At 49.3% G+C, this 16023-nt stretch overlaps 2 protein-coding genes across 6 annotated transcripts in view, besides 12 other annotated features; both read left to right on the top strand.

Annotated features, from left to right (window-relative positions):
- The window catches only part of ANKRD11 (ankyrin repeat domain containing 11), a 222932-nt gene that overhangs the window by 119508 nt on the left and 87401 nt on the right, over nt 1-16023 (top strand). The window lies entirely within an intron of this gene.
- Nucleotides 1-16023, top strand: part of LOC128462377 (uncharacterized) — a 101247-nt gene that overhangs the window by 47239 nt on the left and 37985 nt on the right. The window lies entirely within an intron of this gene.
- Nucleotides 174-1161: an enhancer, noted in NCBI's record as "H3K27ac-H3K4me1 hESC enhancer chr16:89436301-89437288 (GRCh37/hg19 assembly coordinates)". NCBI's record gives its function as "activates a minimal SCP1, AML or CMV promoter by ChIP-STARR-seq in naive and primed H9 embryonic stem cells {active_cell/tissue: H9 hESC(naive and primed)}" and the evidence as "EXISTENCE:reporter gene assay evidence [ECO:0000049][PMID:30033119]".
- Nucleotides 1162-2149: an enhancer, noted in NCBI's record as "H3K27ac-H3K4me1 hESC enhancer chr16:89435313-89436300 (GRCh37/hg19 assembly coordinates)". NCBI's record gives its function as "activates a minimal SCP1, AML or CMV promoter by ChIP-STARR-seq in naive H9 embryonic stem cells {active_cell/tissue: H9 hESC(naive)}" and the evidence as "EXISTENCE:reporter gene assay evidence [ECO:0000049][PMID:30033119]".
- Nucleotides 5539-5588: an enhancer, noted in NCBI's record as "active region_11408". NCBI's record gives its function as "activates an Ori minimal core promoter by ATAC-STARR-seq in GM12878 lymphoblastoid cells {active_cell/tissue: GM12878}" and the evidence as "EXISTENCE:reporter gene assay evidence [ECO:0000049][PMID:35858748]".
- Nucleotides 7071-7210: an enhancer, noted in NCBI's record as "active region_11407". NCBI's record gives its function as "activates an Ori minimal core promoter by ATAC-STARR-seq in GM12878 lymphoblastoid cells {active_cell/tissue: GM12878}" and the evidence as "EXISTENCE:reporter gene assay evidence [ECO:0000049][PMID:35858748]".
- Nucleotides 8752-8821: an enhancer, noted in NCBI's record as "active region_11406". NCBI's record gives its function as "activates an Ori minimal core promoter by ATAC-STARR-seq in GM12878 lymphoblastoid cells {active_cell/tissue: GM12878}" and the evidence as "EXISTENCE:reporter gene assay evidence [ECO:0000049][PMID:35858748]".
- Nucleotides 8805-10004: an enhancer, noted in NCBI's record as "BRD4-independent group 4 enhancer chr16:89427458-89428657 (GRCh37/hg19 assembly coordinates)". NCBI's record gives its function as "activates an origin of replication core promoter dependent on BRD2, P300/CBP, MED14 and CDK7 cofactors, and independent of BRD4, by STARR-seq in HCT116 cells {active_cell/tissue: HCT116}" and the evidence as "EXISTENCE:reporter gene assay evidence [ECO:0000049][PMID:35650434]".
- Nucleotides 9332-9895: an enhancer, noted in NCBI's record as "H3K27ac-H3K4me1 hESC enhancer chr16:89427567-89428130 (GRCh37/hg19 assembly coordinates)". NCBI's record gives its function as "activates a minimal SCP1, AML or CMV promoter by ChIP-STARR-seq in primed H9 embryonic stem cells {active_cell/tissue: H9 hESC(primed)}" and the evidence as "EXISTENCE:reporter gene assay evidence [ECO:0000049][PMID:30033119]".
- Nucleotides 9902-9981: an enhancer, noted in NCBI's record as "active region_11405". NCBI's record gives its function as "activates an Ori minimal core promoter by ATAC-STARR-seq in GM12878 lymphoblastoid cells {active_cell/tissue: GM12878}" and the evidence as "EXISTENCE:reporter gene assay evidence [ECO:0000049][PMID:35858748]".
- Nucleotides 10052-10141: an enhancer, noted in NCBI's record as "active region_11404". NCBI's record gives its function as "activates an Ori minimal core promoter by ATAC-STARR-seq in GM12878 lymphoblastoid cells {active_cell/tissue: GM12878}" and the evidence as "EXISTENCE:reporter gene assay evidence [ECO:0000049][PMID:35858748]".
- Nucleotides 12066-12135: an enhancer, noted in NCBI's record as "active region_11403". NCBI's record gives its function as "activates an Ori minimal core promoter by ATAC-STARR-seq in GM12878 lymphoblastoid cells {active_cell/tissue: GM12878}" and the evidence as "EXISTENCE:reporter gene assay evidence [ECO:0000049][PMID:35858748]".
- Nucleotides 12343-13229: an enhancer, noted in NCBI's record as "H3K27ac-H3K4me1 hESC enhancer chr16:89424233-89425119 (GRCh37/hg19 assembly coordinates)". NCBI's record gives its function as "activates a minimal SCP1, AML or CMV promoter by ChIP-STARR-seq in naive H9 embryonic stem cells {active_cell/tissue: H9 hESC(naive)}" and the evidence as "EXISTENCE:reporter gene assay evidence [ECO:0000049][PMID:30033119]".
- Nucleotides 13230-14116: an enhancer, noted in NCBI's record as "H3K27ac-H3K4me1 hESC enhancer chr16:89423346-89424232 (GRCh37/hg19 assembly coordinates)". NCBI's record gives its function as "activates a minimal SCP1, AML or CMV promoter by ChIP-STARR-seq in naive H9 embryonic stem cells {active_cell/tissue: H9 hESC(naive)}" and the evidence as "EXISTENCE:reporter gene assay evidence [ECO:0000049][PMID:30033119]".

Genomic DNA, 16023 nt, shown 5'->3' with positions numbered 1-16023 from the left:
TCGTCATGAGACGGGGCAGCTATAACATTGCCAAACACATTTTTCTCAACTAGGAGAGCTCAAGCAAGGGACGGAGCCCTAGGGTTGTCTCGTGGTGTCCGCAGGGCTTGGTTCTTGGGCGTCTCGTGGCGCCTGCAGGGTTCTGTTCTTGGGTGTGTTGAGTGCCGTGGGGTGAATGGAGGCTTGGCCTTTTGAGAGGCTGCTGTACTGAGCACTCAGGAGCCGGCCTGGGGGTCGTCTGGGGCTGACATCAGCAGGGAGGTTGCTGCCATCTTCGGCTGCCTCTGACCAGCATCATGGAAACCTTTCCCAGCACAGCAGTCACCGTGATGAAAGCTCCCTTCTGCTCTCGGGTCCTGCCGTGGAGGAACAAGGCCAGGTGGGTGCAGGTCAGGGGAGGATGCTGAGCTCACCTGGGCGTCCTAGGCTTCAGTCGGTCATTTGTCAAATGTGTGCGGTGACGCTGAGCTGCCTGGAAGGCCCTGTGGTCGCTGCTGGGCTGTTTCCATCAGCAGGAGGTGTGCTCCAGCCTCTGGTCTTCTCTTTGCTTGGTTGGGGGAATTTGCCTCAAGGCCCTGGGTGTCATCTTGCAGGAGCCATTTGCCATCTTTGCCCTGGATAACGGCAGGAGGGCTCAGGATCCTGTAGGATCCTAACTGGGCCCAGGGTGTGGCTGGGGCAGGTACCGGGCACGCCTGTCTCCCCTTCTGGACTGCACTGTGGCTCACAGCTCCTTCCAGAAACATCTTCTCATCCTCAGAGCTGCCACATAGTTGGGCACAGGCCCACACTAAAGTGCAGGCTGGCCACCCCTGGACATGGGCTCCCCTCGCCTGAGTCCTGAGAAGAAGCAGCTCCACCCCAGCTCCAGGGCAGGGAGGGGCGTGGGGAAGAATGCAAAGAGCATTTTACTGAGTCTGATCCTTTTCCAGTTGAACAGCAGTGTGTCTTCTTCCTGCCATGCCTGAGATTCTTCCTCAGTGAGAGCTCTGAAGCCAGAAGGTTTGCGTTCTCGTTACTGGATGGTCTTGGCCTGGCTCTTCCTGAAGGGGCCAGGCCCCCAGCCTCTCTGAGCTTCCATCCTGCAGCTGGGGTTTGAGGTGGGCTGGGCCCCCCGTGTTTGGTTTTTGTTTGTTTTCTTCTGAGATAACCATAGATGACATGAGATGTAAGAAAGAACAGGGAGCAGTCCCTTGTACACATTGCCAAGCTTCCCCAGTGGTGGCATTTTGCACACTGAACAGTATCACCCCTAGGGTGTATATCGGCATTGATGAAACCCTCTGGTCTTAGACAGCTGTTTCACCCTTACTTGGAAAGGGTATTGAGTTCTGTACAGTTGATCACAGATGCAGATGCCTGTGTCCCACAGTCGGGACCTTAAAACCCTTGCGTCACCACAAGGACCCCCCTGGTTGTCCTTCTGTGACCGCACCCCCTCCCTTTCCAGGATCCTCTTTCCACCCTGGCAACCACTAGTCTTGTTTTCTGTCTGTGGATTTATCTGCCTATTCCAGACGTTCATGTGAAGGACAATCTGTGGGCCTTTGTGTCTGATACGGCAGAGCTTTGTGCTGTTGCGGCGCACCCATGCTGCGGCAGAGCTTGGTGCCGTGGAGGCGCACCCTTGCTGCAGCAGGCATCAGAGCACAGCCCTCCCTGTGGCAGGGTCATGCGGGTCATGCACCCATCAGCTGATGGACACCTGAATGGTCTCTGTTTGGCCCTTTGCAGCGCTGCTGTGAACACAGACCTGCGAGTGTCGTGGAGACGTGTGGGCATTTCTCGGGCGTACCTAGGTGTAGGTCGCTGCACTGCCTTTTGTTTGGAGACCAGCCCTTTGAAGATTATTGTTTCATATTCTCTCTTGGGAAAACTTCTTGGGTTTGGGGTGCTTATGCTGTGATCTGGTGTGGTTGGTCCTTTCTAGGGTAGATTGTCAGGCCAGAGCTTGGTAGTGATGTGATCATTGTAGGGCAGCTGTGGGCTTGCTGTGGAGGAATGGGTGCCAGTGGGGGGTCTCTCAGTCTGCTGCTTACATCTTGGTTGACTCCCAAGTCTCTATGCAACCCTTGTTCCCTCCAGGCGAGCACGAAGACCTTCTCTTAGAGTCCCACTGCCTCTTTGTTCTGTGTGCCCATTTTTTAAATTTTTGGAAACAGAGTCTTTCTCCTCCCCTAGATTTGAGTGCAGTGGCTTGGTCAGGACTCACTGTGGCGTCAACCTCCTGGCTCAAGCGATCCCGCCTGCCTCTGGAGTAGCTGAAACCACAGGCGTGCACCACCACACCTGACTAATTTTTGTATTTTTTTAGAAACTGGTCTCACTGTGTTGCCTAGGCTGGTCTTGAGCTCCTGGGCTGAAGCAATTATAGCACTTCAGCCTCCCAAAATGTTGGGATTACAGATGTGAGCCATGGCACCCAGCCCTTTTTTTTTTTTTTTTAAGAGCTGCGTGTTTTTATTGCTGTCTTTTCCCTTAGAGCAAGAAATTAAATTGAGAGCAAGAGAAAATGCTGCACAAAAGAAGCTCTGGGCTGGGCGCGGTGGCTCATGCCTGTAATCCCAGCACTTCGGAGGCCGAGGCAGGTGGATCACGAGGTCAGGAGTTCGAGACCAGCCTGGCCAAGATGGTGAAACCCCATCTCTACTAAAAAAAAAAAAAAAAAAAAAAAAAAAAAAACACAAAAATTAGCCAGGCACGGCAGCAGGCACCTGTAATCCCAGCTATTCAGGAGGCTATGGCAGGAGAATCGCTTGTAACCTGGGAGGCGGAGGTTGCAGTGAGCCGAGATTGTGCCACTGCAGTCTGGCCTGGGCAACAGAGCAAGAATCTGTATCAAAAAAAAAAAGCTCGAAAACATGTTAAGAGTGGACAGAGTATGTTGGAATTGTTGGAATCTGGTTTGATGTAGGACTTATTTTTTAAACCAATGAGTAGCGTAGTGAGCACTGTGAACAGGACTAGAAATCAGATAAACAGGGTTTTCAGATAAACGGAGCACAGCAGTTGGTTGCAAGGACAATTTCTTTTTTTGTTTTTTGTTTTGAGAGAGTGAGTCTTGTTCTGTCACCCACACTGGAGTGCAGTGGTGCAGTCATGGCTCACTGCAGACTTGACCTCCTGGGCTCAAGTGATCCTCCCACCTCAGCCTCTGGAGTAGCCGGTACCACAAGCACACCACCGTGCCTGACTGATTTTTGTTTTTTGTAGAGACAGGGTTTCGCCATGTTGCCCAGGCTCCCCACCTGCTTTTGAACAAGTCATAGTTTGCAAGAGGCAGCAGCAGGTGGACATGCAGCCGCTGGGGGTAGTCAGGATGGGATGCGTGGAGCTGTACTCACCAATCTGCAAAAAACCTGCAGCTGTTGCTGCTTGGAGCCTTTGGGAGCTTTCCTGGTCAAGGGAGGTTTTGTGCCATGGAGGATTTATAGAGGCCCCCAAGCAATGTGGACTTGTCAGGCTGAGGAGGGACGGGTCAGGAACAGGGTAGAGGGGAGCAGGCGGCAGGGACTGGTGTGTGCCGTGGCCTAAGAGGGAGCGTGGGTGACCATGGCAGCTGTACACTCCGGGTTGTTTGAGAGCGTCGCTCCCCTGAGACTCCCGGTCGTTTGAGAGCGTCTCTCCCCTGAGTTGCCGGCTAAGGTTGCGTTGAGCATCCCCGGCCTTTCCCCAGTGGAAGCAGTGGTGGGAGGTCTGCCGCTCTGGGCGCCGCCACTGTGCTCAGGAGGAGGGGCTCCCGGTACTGCTGGGCCAGCACTGGCCCCTGCGGCAGGAGTCTGGAGCGGCGCTCTACCCACCCCTGAGAGAACGCTGAACTCCCACGTGGAGTGGACTGTTGTGTTTCGATGGGAAACACGAAGGGGGATGTATGGACTGTCCCCCTGAGGTGCCTGCTCTTCCTCACCGATGGGTGCGGGGTGGAGAGTTGAGGTAGTGAGTATCCGGTGAGTCTCGGGGTGGCATCTTGGAGTCTGTCATAGAGGAGAGGTCGTCCTAGCAGAAGGAGCCGTGGCTGGGCATCCAGCCTGCACACTGGCAAAGCTCCAGGCCAGGGGCTGGCAAACCACAATCAGCGGACCTAATCCAGCCTGTGGGTCTGTCTTTGTACAACCAGATTGCGAAGGATGGTCTTCACATTCTTAAAGGGTCGTTCACAGCAGCAACAGGATGATGTGACAGAGGCCGTGAGTGGCTTGCAAAGCCCAAAGTGTGTGTCATCTGGACCCTTCCAGAAAGCCTTTGCTGACCCCTGCCCTGGGTGCCCCCGGAAGTGGGACTTGGTGTACCCATAGCACACATTCAAGAGAGCTGCTTTGTTAGGGCCAAGTCATGGATGGTGTCCAGTTGACTGTGCCGCACCTCTGTCTAGACATGTCTCAGCACCCTCATGACAGATACAGGAAACAGCTCGGGTTAGCCAAGGCAAGATGGCAGCCTTTTCAACAAGAGTCTGCTGATTTCAGCGAGTGGAAACCAGCTGATCGTGAAAACTGGGTTTCTCACAGCGAGACACCATCTCACACCAGTCAGCATGGCTGTTACGAAAAGGTTAAAAAATAACAGATGCTGGCGAGTCTGTGGATTAAAGGGAGCACTTATACACTGTTGGCAGGAGTGTAAATTAGTTCAACCCTGTGGAAAGCAGTATGGCGATTCCTCTAAGAGCTAAAACCAGAACTACCATTTGACCCAGCAGTCTCATTACTGGGTATATACCCAGAGGAATAGAAACCATTCTACCATAAAGACACATGCGGGCGAATGTCCATTGCAGCACCATTCACAGAAGAAGACATGGAATCCACATGAGCATCTATCAGTGACGGATTGGATAAAGAAAATGTGGTGCATATACACCGTGGAATACTGTGCAGCCATGAAAAAGAATGAGATCATGTCTTTTTTTTTTTTTTTTTTTTTTGAGATGGAGTCTCACTTTGTCACCCAGGCTAGAGTGCAGTGGCGCCATTTTAGCTCACTGCAACCTCCACCTTCCAGGTTCAAGTGATCAGATCATGTCTTTTGTGGAACATGGATAGAGCCTGGAGGCCCTTATCCTTAACAAACCAATGCAGGGACAGAAAACCAAATACTGCGTGTTGTCACTTATGAATGGGAACGAAATGATGAGAACACGTGGACACAGAGAGGGACCAGCAGACACTGGGGTCTGCTTGAGGGTTGGGGGTGGAGGAGGGAGAGGAACAGAAAAAATAACTGTTGGGTACTGGGCTTAACACCTGGGTGATGAAATAGTCTGTTCAACAAACCCTGATGACACAAGTTTACCTACGTAACAAACCTGCAACCCGAACCTAAAACAAAGTTAAAAAAAACGTTGGGTTTCTGCGGAGAGACCACCTTCCACAGACACTGCCCAGGAAGAATTGCGGTAAAAGGCCCCCTACTTGGCTTACTGCTCTTCCCTTTCTTGAGTGAACATACCTCTTTTTCAATTATTAAGGCATACACAAGACATAAGAGCTTGGAAATATTTTGAAAGCGAGTTTCAGAAAATCCTGGAGCCATTTCTTGGGCAGAGTGTCTCAGCAGCACGGTAAGGCTGCACCCTGTGGGACCAAGCACAGGCCTCTCATCTGGGAGGCTCCCCTGCACCCTGGTTGGGCTCAGTGGCTCTCACTCTTGTGTGGCCAAGGATGTCTGTGTTCTGTGCTTTGCAGCCAGTGATTTGGCCTCATGCTCTTTAAGGTGAGAGCTCTGCCTCTGCTGATGGAAACGTCAGGAGGTGATGACACAAGGGTTTAGACTACGTGATAAGATGGCCTGGGATTGAAAGAATCTGAGGTTTTCTACAAAAACCAGCTCTGGAACTTCCCCTTCTGACCAGCCAACAAGATAGTCATCACTGGACAGGATTGTTGAAAGAATTGAGTTAATCATCTAGTAAAAAGGAAAGCAAACATGGTCTGTCATAAGGGAAGGAGAGTCTTGTCACTTTTGAGGCCATTTTATTAAATCTTGATTATTTTGGCTTCCAGACTTGTTACCTATAAAACAGAATTCATAGCATCCTCCAGAAAGCTTGGGAAGCGTCTTAGAATGTGATTTCCATGCCAAAATTTGAAAATTAACATAGTGTTGTTCATTTGGCTTTGTAAGAAATGATCTCACAGGTATTCAGCATTCGATGAGGCTTTTCCCTGGGCCATCTGCGTGCCAGGCTGTTGGAACATCTGCAGTGGGATCAGGTTGGCCGTGGTGCTGAGCAAGCTTCCACTTGGAGCCGAGATGAGATTGTGTGATTCTGAGTAGTGTTTACAGTCTGACAGGGAACAGTGTGAGATAGGGCAAGCTTGTCCAGCCCGCGGCCCATGGCAGCTTTGAATGTGGCCCAACACAAATTTGTAAACGTTATGAGATTTTTTTCTAAGCTTATCAGCTGTTGTTAGCATTGGTGTATTTTATGTGTGGCCCAAGCCAGTTCTTCTTCCAGTGTGGCCCAGGGAGGTCAAAAGATTGGACACCTCTGCTTTAGGGTCTGACTGCTGTGCTCAGCGCTGTTTTGAGGGCGAATAGGTTAAGAAAAATACATGGAAAGGCTCTGCTCTGGAGTTAAATCTGTGTTTAAGTAGCATCTCAAACAACTTTCCATATTTCAGCTTGTTCTTACCGTGAGTAGGATGTGTTTCAGTTACCTATTGCGGTGTAAGACAATACATGGTGTCTTAAGAAAATAATGATTTATGAGTTCTCTTAATTCTTGTGTTGCCTGGTGGTTTTCTGCTGGTCATACCTGGGATCACTCATGAAGCTGCATTAGGCTGATGGGGGCTGAATCCATTTCATACTTCAGTCTGTGTGGGCCCCCACATGTTGCCTGAGGGCACAGGTGGAAGTGGCAGGGTCCTCGTGGGCCCAGCAAGTCTGGGGTACACCCAGGCTCCAGGGCTGGAAAGAAAGGCTCCATGTCTTTTTTTTCTTCCTTTTCTTTTGCCTTCCATTGAGTGTGTGTGTGTGTGTGTTTTAAATCAGCGTGTCACTTGGTCGGCTGGGCAGGAATGCAGTGGCATGGCACAATGATAGCTCACCACACCCTCCAACTCCCGGGCTCAAGCTGTCCTCCTGCTCAGGCTCCTGAGTTGCTGGGACTGCAGGCATGTATGCCATCATACCTGGGTAATTTTTTTTTTCTTTTTTGTAGAGACAGGGTTTTGCCACGATGGCCAGGCTGGTCTCGAACTTTTTGCCTCAGTCAGTCCTCCTTGCCGCAGCCTCCTGAAGTGCTGTGCTCCAGGCATGAGTCACCGCATAGGGCTAGCACTCCACTTCCTGACTGGAACCTGCAGGCCCGTGTTCTTCCAGTCTACCACAGAGAGTGTGTTTGTTTCACAGGGGCCTGGGCCACATACACGGGAAGCAGCGTGTGGTGCTTGGTGGACATAAAGTGAGTGAGGCTTGGCACACAGAGTGCGTTTGAATTTGACAGAATGCAAAGAAAGTTTTGGTGGTTTCTCCTAGATTCTGGACTCAGAATTGTGAACTATGTAAGGTTTTTTTTCCCCCTTGAGAGATTTCAAAACTTTGCAAGACTGAATCTTTTTTTTTTTTAATTTTATTATTATTATACTTTTAGGGTACATGTGCACAACGTGCAGGTTTGTTACATATGTATACATGTGCCATGTTGGTGTGCTGCACCCATTAACTCGTCATTTAGCATTAGGTATATCTCCTAATGCAGACTGAATCTTACTCCTTGGCTGGCATTTAAGCATAAATAACAAATTCGCATGCACCGTCAAATACAGGGTGAATTTAGAGACTGCTTCAGAAGGCAGAGTATAGGAAAAAATTTTAAATGAAAACTTACCTATTTCTGATCAGAATTCTTTTATCTGGAAACATCGTATATTTTTTTTAACAGGGATAGGCGTGTTCCCAGCTGTTTGAAATGCTTGTGCCCTGGTGCCGTAAAGAAATAGCACTTGAACGTAAATTTAATTTCCTCAGCAAGGCCATTTTTTATACCTTCTGCAGAAAGGGTACACTCGCCAGCAGTTTTGCCACGAGAGTACACCGGATAAAGGAGACCAGGGTCATTTATAACCTGACGCTGTGTCCGGTTTTTTTATACCAACTGCTGTGTCCGGTTTCCATTGGCTGGAACGGGACCTCACATTCTGTATTTGTCCCGATTGGCTAGCAACTTAGAACTTTTTAAAAGAGGCAAAGGCAGAGGAGAACAAAGGAAGGAGGAAGTAATTTGTGGAATGCTGAGAAAGGTAAAAACACCTTCAACTAAGGAAGAGGAACAGGCCGTGACCTAATGCTTGCTTCGACCAGTATAAGCATGCCAGGGCAGATACTTAGGCTAAATTGTGGGAGCTAAGAACATAAAGTACATTGATTTCTTTATTAAGGCTAGCAGATATTTAGGAATGTCAGCACAGGTCTTTGAATAAATGTTGCTTTTAAGAGAAGTTACTATTTATTTTTAATTAGATGGGGAGGAAAGTCTTTGAAGAGGAACTTCTACTTTTTACACAGCTGAGATGTGTGCTCCGCCCAGTATCTCTGGTGCTGGACACATGGGTTCAGTCACGTGGGATTGAGTCTTGTCCCTTCCGGCTTCAGTGCTGTTCACTTCATTCTGTAGCTGTGCAATTTAGGTTTGGGTCTAGATGGAACTTTCGTGCACTCTCTCCAGCTCAGGTTTTGGTTCTGCTTCCAGTCAGCAAGGACTGCGGGCTGTGCAAGGTGTCGTGAGGTTTCACTCAGGCAGACAGAGGAGCACTCTTCATCCCTAGCAGTGGGAGCTGCTTACGCTGAGATCCCGAAAAGCATATGTGCCGTTCAGTTTGTCCAGTGGTTGTTTCAGAAGGGGAAGAAGAAGGCAGTTGGTATTTCAGAAGAATAAAACAAAAATCCCCTAATCCACTCACATTTGTTAAGCCACATGTCAGATTGGGTAAATAATTGTATCTCATGTTGAAACTTGCATCTTTTACAAAACTTTCAGTGCATTTAATGAAACGTATCTGAGGAGCACTTGAGGGTTAGTCTTGCCCCCTCCCATAAATTCAGGGTCCTCCTGCCTGGAGCCACTCTCACAAGCCCCTGGCCGCCCATCCAGGGTGTTGCAAGGCTGTGCCAGCTCATACCCCATTGCTGCCCCGTCTGACCTTTACTGTCCCTCTGACAGGCATGCTGTTTTGAAGGTCTTATCTAGAGTGCGGATTTTTTTTGTTTGTTTTGTTTTTAAATGTTTAGGGTTAATTTTCCCAAGCTTAAATCTTTTTACTTTGTACTTCTCCCTTAGTCCTTAGAGACATTTATCTTTGTAACTTGTGATCCTTAAGCTTGAAAGTGATATTTCTGGGTGGTGATCTTCTACTGATTGGTGTTTCAGCAGGAGTGGAAGGTCTCCCTGAGCCTGTGTCCTTTGCTGGCAGTCCCACTGCCCTCAGAGCGGCATTCTCCCAGCAGGATGGGCCTCAGTGCTGCCTGCAGAGCCTTCTGGTGATGCGGATGTTCCTCTGCTGATTCTGTAGCATCATAACCAAAGAAGAAAACACTTGTTAATGGCTTGGGATATGTAAGTATGGAACATAAACAGGTGGACTGGCACAAACCCTAAGTTTCAAAGTTGAATGATGATGAAGACAGTCACCTGGCCTGAATGAGGCAGCTCATGCTCAGTGGTCTGTGCTGGCCCCCAGAGAAGTGCACAGCTGGAATGTGTCCCTGCAGCACCCCCCGCCCCCGGCGCTGTGATGGTTCTGTGTGTGCTGAGGCCAAGGAAGGCCTGTGTCACCCCGTTTCCTGCTGCTTGGGGCAGGCCCTCTGCGGGAGGAAGAAGGGGGATGTGCTGCTGGGGTTTCCTAAGGGGTGCGCAGAGGTGGTGGTTTAGGGTAGCTGAGCAGGGTTTCAGGCTTACAGGAAGAAGTACGGGCCTAGCCAGGGTGTCTGTAATTGGGTTGACAGGTTTCCACAATGAGAGTAGGAGGTGCCATTGCAGCAGGGGCTGGGGTGGGCTGATCCTGGAGCCCAGGGCTGCCCAGGTTTGGAGTCGTTCACTGTGTGAGTTGGATCGGATCCATCTGGATGTGAGAGACAAGGAGCCTCTCACCTGATGCAGAGCAGTGGCCAAGTCCCGACACAGGCTCAGTGCAGGGGCAAGAGACCGTGGATTCTGTTGAGGTTTGCAGGTCTTAACCACATGCAGAGAGGCTTCATGCAGAGAGGCTGTGACTGACCAGGTATCTGATTACTTGGATCTTTCTTGGAGGCTTAACAGGAGTTTTTAGTGAATCGAAATCTTTTCTTCTCCTCTTCCTCTCCATAGCCACATGACAGACACACACACCTGGAGTTTTGAAAGGGAGTCCACGTATGACAGATGAAGCTGCCTAGTGTTGACCATCGACGTTCTAGGTTCCGAACATACCATGAATTTCATCTCAGGTGCACTGGCTTCTAGAATGCTGTCATTCCCGACTTCATGCTTTCGTGCCATTTTAGTGGTGAAAGTAAATATTGGAACCACTGACATTGGCTAATGCACATAACAATAATCCATGGTTTTTTAATCTTTTAAATTTTGTAGGATTTGTGGTATATAGTTTCTCAGAATTTTGCTATGTGTAATTTAATGTCATTCATTATAAATGTTTATCAAGTGATGAAGATGGAAAAGTGGGCATGGTGATGTTCACCTGTAGTCCCAGCTACTTGGGAGACCAATTCGAGAGGATTGCCTGAACCCAGGAGTTTCAGGCCAGCTTGGGCAACATAGTGAAGCCCCATCCCTAATACAAAATAAGATAAGATAACATAGCCATAAAAATGAACGAGATCATGTCTTTTATGGGAACATGGATGGAGCTGGAGGCTATTAGCCTCAGCAAACTAACTCAGGAACAGAAAACCAAATACTACATGTTCTGACTTTACAAGTGGGATCTAAATGATAAGAACTTAAAAACACAGGGAAGGAAACACCAGACACGGGGGTCTACTTGAGGGGAGAGGGCGGGAGGAGGGAGAGGAGCAGAAAAGATAACTGTTGGGTACTGGGCTTAGTACTGGGTGATAGAATAACACGTACAACCTCCCCCCCCGCCCACTGCCGACATGTGTTTACTTATGTAGTACACCCTCACATGTGCCCCCGAACCTAAAAGTTAAAAAACATATAAACTATGTGATGCTGATTTTGGCATCCATGGCACTCTCTGTTCTTAGGGTTTTGTAGCTTTTACACAAGAATTGAATAAAAACTATCTTATCTTTCTGCATCACATAGAATGTAGTGTAGACTAAAATGCAAACATCTTCTGCTGGCTGTTGAGACTCAGATATGAAGACCGTTGAAAATGCCTCTTGTACAGTTACCCAGTTCCTGCTTCAGTGTGGAGAGGCAGAGAGGTGAACAGCCGGCTACCTTCGTGGTAAAAGAAGCTGAAATGAGCAGCTCTGTGCCATTAATAACAGTTTCGGCCAGCAGCCAAGGCTCAGAGTGTGGGATTAGCCTGAAGAATCAAGACTGCAGGGCCGGAACAAGGAGGTAGGCACAGTGAGGTCACAGTGCTGCCATCTGCATCCCGAAGCAGTGGGGGCCGAGGGGCTGCAGCAGACGTGTGCGCTGCTCCTTGGCGCAGGCTGGAAGGTCTTCCTGCTCCTCTGCTGGGGCTGGCTCCAGGAGCTGGCTGCAGTTCCCTGGGAGTCTGCTTTTTAAAGGGCTGTACGTGCGATTGAGTTGTATGGGAAATGGCTGCTCTGGGATTTTCTGGAGTCTTTACTAAAAATAAAGAAGCATACTCAAGCAGTTTGCATCTAGCATTTGTTCTTTGGAGGCACCATTCATGTTAAAGATGGTGTGTGTGGGACAGATCGCATTTCCGTGATCTTGTTTCAGATTGATTTTTTTTTTCTTCCAGAATCAGTCTTTTAGATGAGGACAGTGACAATGATGTTTTATATATTTTGGAATATTAAAATTTGAAGCAGAGAAAGGCTTTGCTCTGTCAGTGTTTAATACTGACGATTTAGACATATATAAGAAATGTATAGCCTTGTCTTTACAAAAAATAGAAAATTAGCCAGGTGTGGTGGTGCATGCCTGTGGTCCCAGCTGCTCTGGAGGCTGAAGTGGGAGGATCACTTGAGCCCAGGAGGTCGAGGCTGTGGTGAGCCATGATCGCACCACTGCGCTCCAGCCTGGGCAGCAGAGGGAGACCCTATTCTCAAAAAAAAAACCTACAGGCAAAAAACAAACTATAACTGAAATGTGAGATGTGGGTTTTAGCGGCACAGGGGAAGTGGTTTGCACGTGGGGTTATCTAGGGCTGGGTGCAGATGTCCCGTCCTCAGCACACAGGGCCAGCGAGGGCAGCTTGTGGGTTGTCACTGAAATGAGCTGCAGGCAGCATCCTGGGTAAACAGTTGAAATCTTAGTCATTCTGTTTATTTATTAATTATTATTTTTAAAGTTTTTGTGAGTACATAGATGAATGTATTTATGGGGTCCATGAGATGTTTTGATATAGGCATGCAATGCGTAGTGATGATATCATGGAAAACGGGGTATCCATCTTCTCAACTAGTTATCCTTTGTGTTGTAAACAATCCAGTTACCAACCCAACCTGGAAATTGAGTACCAGTAATATAGGCAGTTATCCACGTGGCTCTTTGAAACGTGGTCGCTAAGCTGTGCATGTTTGCAAACGTGGAAGCTGTTGTGTAGATGATGTTCACTCCCGTGAATATGCAGCTGTGATGTGGCCAACAGAAGGGAAGGAACACGCCTGTGTGCTCTACGTCTTCTGCAAGCCGGCACAGCTCCATGCGGGACCAGTGCTGATGCCAGAGTGAGGTGTGGGGGCTGTGGCCTGTGTCTGCCCGCACGTGGTGGCATTCTAGCAAAGCCACGTGGGTGGGTGCAGCATCTCCAGCCACCCTGGTTGTTAACTGTCACAGCTTGACCTGTGTCCTTGGGTCAAAAGTTGCATCTGGTGCCTCACTCACTTCCTCCATTGTTCAAAGCAGTAAGAGGGTTCAGTCTTTGGAAAGGAAGCATTTACTGGCTATTTGAAGAGATTGATTTCAGAAATTGAGCATCATAACTAAATCTGATTGTTTTGAAAGGATTTACTACTTTTCATTACTTTCATCCCAGTGTTCAATAAAAATAGGAAAAGAAAGGAAAGGTGTCCCCAGAAAGGGGCAGCCAGCACCCTGGCTTCCAGTACCTTCAGCAGCGTTGTCCTGTGGCCATGGATTGGCTTGCCGATGAGCAGTGGTTCCTCCCAGACTCCTCCCTCAGGGCCCTTCCTCTTGTGCAGCTGCTGTTTGTCCCTGGACCCTGTGAGTGGAGTCCGCAGCATTGGCTGTGACAGGCATTCCTCGTTAGGGCTGAGTCGCGTTATGCTGTGTGCAGACGCATTCTGCTTCTCTGTCATCCGCCAGGGGACACTCGGGTTTGCTGTTGGGAACCATGCTGTGTGAACTGTGAACGTCGAAGTACAACTGTCTTTTGGGGGCCCTGCTTTCAGTTCTTTTGTATATCTACCCAGAAGGGGAACTGCTGGATCATATGCTTAGTCCTTTTGTAATTTGTTGAGGAATCGTCACACTGTTTTTTTTTGGCAGTTGCACCATTATATGTTCCCACCAGCAATGCACGAGGATTCCTGTTTCTCCACAAGCTCACCTGCCCCCTGGTTCCCTGTGAGGTGCTGGAGACTGGCAGCAAGTGTCCTGTCCCCGGGACACGTGGTGAGCACAGTCCCTGACTGCCCTTCCTTCATGGTGTGACTTTTATCAGCAGATTTGACAGATGAGAGGTGAATCCTGGGTGTGTTGAAGCTGACTCACCCCGCCCCCAACCCCACTCATCTTCGAAGGTGTGTTGTAGCTCTGGCCGAGCCTACCTCTGAGCAGTGCCCCTAGATGGCTCCACCTTCCTTACACTGTCCCTCCTACAGACTCATCCTCATCCCCACCACTGCCCTTTGGCTATTCTGTGGTAGATTTTTAGAATAAAAGATGTCAAGCCTGGCTGTTGAACCATTAGCATTGGGACATGCCCTGCTGACAAGGCAGCCACCAACCCCTCCAAGATGGTCACAGGTCACTTGGGAGCTGGCCCTTCCCAGCAGCAGGATGCCTGGGACTCCGGGAGATTACAGCCACAGGGCCTGGGAGAAGCCTCAGGCTTTTGTTGTTTATTATGTGCATTATCCTTTTGGGGTCCCCAAAATTGTACCATTACGTTCTTTTTTTTTCTTTTTTCTTTTTTTTTTTTTTTGAGACGGAGTCTTGCTGTGTCGCCCAGGCTAGAGTGCAGTGGTGCGATCTTGGCTCACTGCAAGCTCGGCCTCCCGGGTTCATACCATTCTCCTGCCTCAGCCTCCCAAGTAGCTGGGACTACAGGCACCCACCACCACGCCTGGCTAATTTTTTTTTTTTTTTTGTATTTTTAGTAGAGATGGGGTTTTACTGTGTTAGCCAGGATGGTCTCGATCTCCTGACCTCGTGATCCGCCCGCCTCGGCCTCCCAAAGAGCTGGGATTATAGGCGTGAGCCACCGCGCCTGGCCCTGTTACATTCTTTATAGAGCTGACATTGGAACAAGCAGTGTCTGCTTGAAAGCACTGTTCTGAATGTGTCCAGCTGCTCCATCTGGCTTCCGGAGCTGGTGTCATCATCTAGGCAGGGTTGGCTGATGGATCACATCCTTCTCACCTCAGCGGATGGCTTGCCACCGAGAACTGTGCGTGTCTCTGGAATTCTCCACTTTACTCCCTTGACAAAGATGTCTCCTTTGGACGTCCTGAAAGTCTGTAATCAGTTTTTAAAAACCCACAATAGTTCATTGTTTGTAACCTATAAATGTTATAAACAAAGATGATCAGAAACGTGAGAATTAAAAAATACTTGTGTTTTGTTAGTGAAAAGCACTAGTTCATAGTAACTAAGGTTTTCCAGATTCTTTCTTGTATTTGTTTTGAGACAAGTCTCACTCCAGTGCCCAGGCTGGAGTGCAGGGGCGCTATCTGGGCTCACTGTCGCCTCAGCCCCCAGGGCGGGGCTCATGTGATCCTCCCACCTCAGCCTCCCAACTCATTTCTGGTGGTCTTGGGCGAGTCACTTAGCGTTCCTGAGCCCTGGTCTCCCGAGCTGTGCTGGGGGGAGCACCCTGTTCCTGTGGTGTTTATCTCATCGGTCACTCTGCCTTTCCATTGGGCTGCGCACAGGAGAGCCACAGACCCTTGCCGTGAACCGCCGTGGCAGGGCCTCGGTGCAGATGCGATTGTCAGGCTGCGCTCAGTAACACAAGACCTGCCCTCGACGGGTGGATGCTCATAACAAGATGAAGTTCAAGTGAGCATCTTTGGGTTTTTTCTTGTTTTACTTATTAATGGAAGAAACCCTTTATTTTTAAGAGACCTTCTTTTGATCCTGGCGATACTGTGACATTTCAGTCTATTTTTGAGTTGGTTGTGATACTCGATGTCTGGGGCCGTCCCTGCTGGAAGAGAGAGCGTTCAGAGCAGAGCATGTGCCGGACATGGGGCCACGTTCACCCCTGAGGAGCACTTTGAAATGGCTTTGAATTCTTGTCAGCCTTGATTAGGTCTTTCAGGCAAACAGTCTGGCTGATGAAAAGTTTATGGTACAAGCAGCAGAAACTTAATCAGCTCTTCTGTTCTGCCATCGTCCTCCGTTTGTGTTGGAGTCCTGCACGTTCCTCTTTGGTCCTTGTGGGTCTGTGTGAGCCGTCCGCCCGCCTTCCGAGCCTCAGGGTGTGAGCCCTCTGCCCGCCTTCCGAGCCTCAGGGTGTGAGCCCTCCGCCCTCCCTCCGTGAGCCCTCTGCCCGCCTCCCGAGCATCACCAGCATAGGTTCGCCTGGGATGGGAGTATGTTGGGAGCAACTGGGTTGAGGCTCCTTGGCCAGACGGGAGACCACAGGGCAGCTGCCCAGGAAATGTCAGCAACATTTAGACTTTTTCTGATGTTTTTAGATGAAAGCAAACATGTTGTTCTGGCGTTTCCTT

Source organism: Homo sapiens, chromosome 16 (genome assembly GCF_000001405.40).
Source record: "Homo sapiens chromosome 16, GRCh38.p14 Primary Assembly".
Taxonomy (NCBI): domain Eukaryota; kingdom Metazoa; phylum Chordata; class Mammalia; order Primates; family Hominidae; genus Homo; species Homo sapiens.
This window is presented reverse-complemented; position numbering and strand designations above follow the sequence as displayed.